Here is a 7,201-nt window from a genome sequence, read left to right as displayed (position 1 = left end):
CAATTGGCGAGCATTCCATTATAAAAACAAATGAAATCTTCCCCGTCTACGAGATAAATAATTTTCTCCCCACACCTAAGCGGGAGGCATTAGCTTAACGGGTAACGATCTAAATTATGTATTAAACTCAATTACTTTTTATTACTGCTTTCCAATTAGGGTTCCCTGATTGACTCACATGGCGTGGAGACTCCTCCCGGGCAGTCCCCCATCCTCCTGGCCCCTGGATCTGGCTGTGCAGACGCCATTTGCCCCCAGCTTAATTGAGCATATCTCTCCCTCGCTCTAAGGGGAGAGTGAGGTGTGGCTTCTGCTGGAGAATGAACACGGACGGCAGCAGGATCACCGACTAAATCACCGTCTAAATCTGCCAGAGCCACTCCTGGCAGCCACTTCTGAGGCTGCAGTATCTCCCGGCCCTCTAGAGAGAGCTCCCGAAATCACCAGTATCGTGAGGGCAGCTCTGCCGAGCCCGCGGCCTCTATAGGTGCAAGCAGCGTGCTGCTGCTCCGATGAGTGTCTCCCTGTCCTCAGAGGCGCCAGTCCCCCAGCTCCTGCCCTGCGCTGGCCATGCCTCAGCCGACATTGCACCACCGTGGACTCCCCTGTGTAACCAAGAGCTTTCCTTGTTAGAATCCAGACTCTCTGAGAAGGGCTGTGTTCTTGGGCATATTTCTCAAACACCAGGGACAAACTCCTTTTAAAATGAAAAAGCGTGTAGACTGCCAAGTGCAAAAATGCTACTTGTGAGGGGCCGCTGCGCGGTGATTGCAGAGGCCAGCTTGCCCTGCAGAGCCGGTCGTGGCCGTCACGGAAGCCGGGGAGCTGTGGGAACGCCCATTCCTCAGAGTCGCCGCGTGCCCACCGTGAGCTGCTCTGAGCAACACGGCGGGAGCTGGAGGATGGGGCCAGAAGGGGCTCGAGGATGAAAGCGCGCCAGGAGGGAGACGTGACCGGGTGGCCTGCTGCAGGTGGCGGACGCCTGGGAACACGCAGCACAGGTGGGTGGGCGAACTAGGAGCGCCAGGTCGGGGGTCTGCCTGAGAATGTAGCTCTGAAATGGCGCCGTGAGGGAGGCGAGGGGTCGGCCATTCTGAGATTAGAGGAAGGGGTCCCAGCAGGGCAAGCCACCAAGACAAAGGCGCTAAGCCCCCATCTCAGGGTGGGGGTGGCAGCGGGTGGGGTCAGCCACCTTCAGGCTGGGCTTCAAGAGAGGCCTCAGAGCTGGCACCAGAGGCCCCCTCTGCCCCTGCCTCTGACTGCAGGAAGAATAAAAAGGCTGGAAAGAGGACCTGGCCGAGTTACACAGAGAAGCCCCCTCAGCCAGAAAGAGCCAGGGGAATGAGAAGCCGGAGAGCTGCTCCTGAGTTGGGGGCGCTACAGCCAGGGTCCCTGCTTGTTCCTGAGTCTTGGCTTGGATGCGGCTTAGACTTGAACTTTCATGTCCACCCGGGCCTCTCTGAGTGACCCTGACAGGGACCAAGGGCCCAGCAGCCCACACATTACCCTTGATTGCCACAAGGTGGTGGTGGGAACTCCCAGGACCCCAGGAAAGGGGGCTGGGCTTGAGCTGCCAGGTGGGGGTTCCTTGTGAGGCTTGGGGTGGGAGGGGCTGGGGTGGAGCTGGCTGGGCCTCACAGGCCCGGGAGCCAAGAAGAGAGCTTCGGTGCCTTCGCTGGGGATCCCCAGACCGGGCACTCCGGGAAGCTGGTGCTGCACCATGACAGCCACTGCTGCCACCCCACCTGGGTCCCAGAACAAGCCCTGCCAGCCCACCCCAGAGGCCGAGGGACAGGTAGGTGAGCCACAGAGGGGGCGGAAGGGACCCGAGGGCACTGAGACAGAGGCTTAAAAGGCCAAGTCAAGCTCTAAGTCCTGGAGTCAAGCAGCCGGCTGTCCCGGCACCCGGCCGCAGTGACATCCAGAGAGCAGCCCCCTAGCAGTGTCACTCAGGTGATAATGCAAGAAAGCCCTGTCCTGTGTGTGTTCAGGGCCTGGGAGGCCTCCGTGAGCTGGCTGCACAAGCCTGGGGCTGTGGCACTCGCAGAGGACCTGCCTGGCCTCTTCATGAGCACGAGGGTCTCACTTAACCCTCAACATACCCCACAGGGCCGGATTGACCTTCTCACCTCACTGGAGAGGGAGAAGAACCAGGAGAGTCTCAGGACTAAGGCACCCCTCCGGGCGTCGGGTGTGCAGGGGCCGAGCTGGGATGCCAATTCTGCGTCACAGCCGGCTGCAGGTTCCGCAGCAGTTTTAGGGGCGACATTACCGAGGTCCTTGTGGGCGGGAGAGGGAAGTGTGGTGGGGCGCAGAGTAGGCCACGGTGGGGTGGGGAAGCGTCAAGGACGATGAGCTGTCAACTGGGCGTTGAAGGATGGTGGGGCTCCATCCAGCAGAGGTGGGGGTGTGAGTGTGATGGGGGAATGGGTGTGTGAGGTGGTTGGGTTTGTGTGTATGTGTGATGAGTGTGTGTGTGGTGCATGGTGTCTGTGTGATGGGCCTGTGTGTGTGGCTGTGTGCAGGTGTACGTGTGATGAGTTTGTGTGTGTGTGGTGTGTGTGATGAGTGTGTAATGAGCATGTCTGATGAGCATATGTGTGATGTGTGTGATAAGTGTGTGTGTAATGAGTGTGATGAGTGTGTATGATGAGAATGTGTGTGGTGTGTGATGAGTGTGTGTGATGAGCATGTGTGTGATGAGTGTGTGTGGTGTGTCTGTGATGAGTGTGGGTGATGAGTGTGTGTGTGATGTGTGGGGAGTGCTGATGGGTGCAGGTGGATGTGTGTGTGTGATTGGGTGGTGTGTGTGCAATGGGTGTGTGTGATGAGTGTGTGTGTGATGTGTGGGGAATGGGGATGGGTGCAGGTGGAGGGGTGTGTGTGTGTGATGAGCAAGTTTGTGATAAGCATGTGTTTGGTGTGTGTGTGTCTGTGATGAACGTGTGTGTGGTGTGTGTGAGTGGGTGTGTGGTGTGTGTGCAATGGTGTGTGTGATGTGTGTGGGGAGTGGGGACTGGTGCAGGTGGAGGTGTGTGTATTATGAGCATGTGTGTGATAAGCATGTGGTGTGTGTGTGAGTGTGATGAATGTATGTGTGGTGTGTGAGTGTGTGTGATAAGCATGTGTGTGATGAGTGTGTGTGTGGTGTGTGCGATGGGTGTGTGTGATGAGTGTGTGTGTGATGTGTGTGGAGAGTGCTGATGGGTGCAGGTGGCGGTGTGTGTGTGATGAGCATGTGTGTGTGTGTGTGTGTGTGTGGCGTGTGTGGGGAGTGGGGATGGGTACAGGTGCAGGTGGATGTGCTCACCAGCCAGGTTCTCAGGCCCGTGCTAGTGCTGTACCTGGCACAGGAGGTCAGAAGGACCATTGCTCTTCCCACTAGCCAGAGCGGTGTCTGGCTTTGTCTCTCCCTTCGCCACTGAGTACCCCCAGCCAGGTGATGGCATCTCCGCAGGCCTCACCCACTTTTCTGCTCCTCCCTGTGGACTGTGGGGTCAGCACAAAGACTCCATCTGGCTACCCCGCGGCCCCTCTGGCCACGCCTGCCTGCTGGAGACTCCTCCTGGCATCCTCCGAGCCAGGCCAGGTGTGGCCTTGCTGGGCAGCCCTCCTCTTCCTGCATCCACCCACTGCGTTTCAGTGGCTCCATCCTTTATGCCACCAATGACCCCTGGACATCCCTCAGTCCCTCCAGGGACAGTGTGGTTCACAGGGCTGGTGTGCTGAACAAAGGCTGAGCTTGGGCAAGCACTGCAGGGGCTGGGACATAGGGTAGTGGCCAGGAGGCCCAAGGAGTCCTGTCCAAGAGGAGACAGGCCAGGATCTCAGGCTCAAGCCCTTGAGCCCTCTAGAGTGCCTAGCCCTGTGCTGGACTCCAAGGGGCCACAGGCAGAGAGAGAACCTGGCCTCAGCCTCTGAGACTGAGGAGCCCTAGCTCAAGTGTGTGGGCCAGGCAGAAGAGAGCCCTGAAGTTGGAGCAGTCAAGGAAAGCTGCCTGGAGGAGGCGGCCTGGGAGTCACAGCTCAATGGCACCTGAGAAGGACGGCCAAGGCCTCTGCCCCGGGGCTTGCATCCCTCTCCATCAGCACAGCTCGGGGGAATGGCCTGGAGCTGCAACACCAACGACAGACGGCGGGAAAGTGCTGTCCCCACAGCGGGCACGGAAAACCACCGGCCCTCATCCCGTCTCGCACAATCCCTGAAGTTTGCTTTTTGTTTGTTTGATTAATTCCTTCGACGTTCAAGAAAGAAATTAATTTTACTTATTCCTCAAGCGGTCATTAGAAAAGCTTTTAATGAACACAGTAAAAACCAACTAATTATCGCAATGGCATTTTACTCTAAATAAAATTGACAGCAACCAAGAAGATGGTGCCTATAATTCTCCTCAGTTTATTAAAACCCATTTATCACATTTTATCCTAGCGGAAACTGATCATACTAGTCTGTGATAATTTAACTACTATTTCCTCACTGCATCTAACACGTAAGGGGAGTTTACTGATATTAAAGTCATAATGCATTATATGGAGATGACCTTGCATTCTAATTACTGTTCTTGGTGAGGAATGGGGAAGAGAATCATTCTGTACTGCACACTCCAGATGAAGCCAATGCATGCTTAATGTGAAGCCTCTAATTAGAAAAAATTCCCTTCTCAGTTTCAGCAGAGTTGATGGTCATTTTTCCTCGTGAAATGTGTGCTGGGGGCCTTGGTGTTGGAGCCCTCCCTCTACCCCAAAGGTCATGTCCGTGCTCCAGAAACTCACCATTGTCCATCCATTCCCTGAATGACCACAGTGAACCCACATGGCCCAGGTGCCTCCAGAAGCCTGGCAGACAATTCTTAAGTGTGAAAGAAAGTGTTTGTTTCTGCTTTTTGTTAAAATTCAGAAGTCACATTCTTCCAAAAACCATACTTGAAAATTTAGCTTTTTATTATACATCTTGCTCTAAGAGTCTGTTATTGTTCCCGATCATGAAATGTCATGGGGCTCAAAGGATGGGACGCTTGATTCGCTTCCTAAATACGAGTTGCTTCTGTTGAGTTTTGCCACCAGCAGCTCCCACATGCTTGCACCCGTATCTACATGTTCATGCAGAGACCCACCCGGCTTCTGCTCACAGACACACATCTCACCTCCCACACCATCTTCCCTGCTTGTGGTGGTTAATTTTAGGTGTCAACTTGACTGCACTGAGGGATGCCTAGATAGTTGATAAAACATTTCTGGATGTGTCTTTGAAGGTGTCTCTGGAAGAGATTAACATTTGAGTCAGTGGACTGAGTACAGACCTGCCCTCATCAAAGTGAGCAAGCATCACTTAATCCAAGGAGGGCCTGAGTAGAGCGAAAAGCCTGAGGAAGGGTGAACTCACTTTCTTCTTTAGCTGGGACATCCATCTTCTCCTGCCCTCGACCATTGGTGCCTCTGATTCTCTGGTCTTTGGACTCAGATTGAATAACACCACTGACTTCCCTGGTTCTCCAGCTTGCAGATGGCAGATTGTGGGACTTCTTGGCTTCCATAACTACATAAGTTGATTCCTATAATAAATCTCCTCATATATATGTATATATATATATACATATATATGTTCATATTCTATTAATTCTGTTTTTTGTAGAACTCTGAATAATATAGATTTTGGTACCAAGAGTGGATCTAGAGGACCAGAATTTTGAGGACGAGTTTTCTGAATTCTTTCTGGAGTTTCTGGAATTGGCTCTTTAATCCAACTATATGTAAAGACACTAATGACTGTATTTCCGGTAGTAAAGAGAGCACTGATCATCCATGGCACAAACTATAGAGATATGCAAAATATCTGCATTGGATCCTTCTAATAAACTACTTGTAAGAAGCGAGGAGCTACATGACTCTGTATATGATACTTTTGAACATTTTAGGAAAACTGAGGAATATAATGACATTGGTTGCTTCTAATGTCATTGGACAAAGTGGTAAAAGAAAAAGATGAGCTCAGGGATTCAAATTCCCAGCTCAAGAGCCACAAAAATGACCTAAGAGTTTCTATGTTTGCCCCAGGAGCCTTATCTCATACAACCACAGGGCTGAAGTTTCTGAAAATCAAACTCAGGACCTCATCCTGCAATTGGCCAAATTATTAATACAATGCAAGTTGAGCTCCCAGCCTCCTGGAATGTCTACTCTTGAGTGGGGAAATTGACTGGGAAAGAACGGGATACTGTAAGTTGCAATGGGGACATGTGGGAAGACCCTGATGAAGCTGGGGGTATCAAGCCCCTAAGTTCTGATGTTTATTATTTGCCAGTGGAAGAGGTCCCCCCACGCTCAAAAAAAGTGGCCTTCACATCCCTGGTGGCAGGAGCATCCCTGCCAACAGTGGTGTAGCCTTTCCACCTGACTTGAAGGAGTCCCCCGCATCCTGAGTAATATCTTCCTCTGAGGTGGTGGCCAAGCAGGACAATGCTGATTATTTTCAGGACCCACCCTCACCGCCCCTCTTTGCCTCTAGCCCTATAACTAGACCCAAACCCCAGTAGGCCCTGAAGGTGAGGGACAAACTGTGACCCATGAGAAGGTATGCTGCTCTCCAAAAGAACAACATGGGTTTTCTAATTTATACGAGCAGAAATCCAGGGAACATGGATGGGAATGAATATTAAGGGTGTGGGATGGTAGTGGAAGGAACATAAAGTTGGATCAGGCCAAATTTATTGATATGGGCTCAGTAAGCAATGATTCTGGATTTAATGTTGCAGGTCAACGAGTTAGAAAGGGCTCAGTTTGGTTGGATGGCGGAACAGGGGTCAAAAGATAGTCTGCCCTGCCGTGAGCAAACTGGAAAGATCCAAACTCCCCGGTTTAATGTAGAGGGGGTTTAAAGGGCTCAGGGAAGCTGGTGTGTTAGAGTGGGTTTGTCATTTCAGACCTAGTTGCCCACACGCGGGGATCTGGAAGACTGGCCTTTCACCAACACCTCGAGAAAGAACTGTGTGAGGGGGTCCCAGCTTCCTTGAAGAGCTCCGCCATAACTCGTCCCTGTAAGTCAGACCTTATGGTGGGAACCACAGCCACTCAGCTGGAGACCTAAGTGCAAGGGGAGCAACTGGATCCTGTGGTGGGGGATCCCACAGGCAAGGTGGGTGCAGGCATAGCAATGGGCAGGAGTGGCACAGCAGCAATCAGAACAACCTGGCTCATGAGACTCA

The 7,201-nt window shown here is 52.5% G+C and overlaps 1 annotated feature.

Annotated features, from left to right (window-relative positions):
* Positions 3,153-3,653: an enhancer, noted in NCBI's record as "H3K4me1 hESC enhancer chr14:104937569-104938069 (GRCh37/hg19 assembly coordinates)". NCBI's record gives its function as "activates a minimal SCP1, AML or CMV promoter by ChIP-STARR-seq in primed H9 embryonic stem cells {active_cell/tissue: H9 hESC(primed)}" and the evidence as "EXISTENCE:reporter gene assay evidence [ECO:0000049][PMID:30033119]".

The sequence above is a fragment of the Homo sapiens genome, chromosome 14 (genome assembly GCF_000001405.40).
Source record: "Homo sapiens chromosome 14, GRCh38.p14 Primary Assembly".
In the NCBI taxonomy this organism is placed as follows: domain Eukaryota; kingdom Metazoa; phylum Chordata; class Mammalia; order Primates; family Hominidae; genus Homo; species Homo sapiens.
This window is presented reverse-complemented; position numbering and strand designations above follow the sequence as displayed.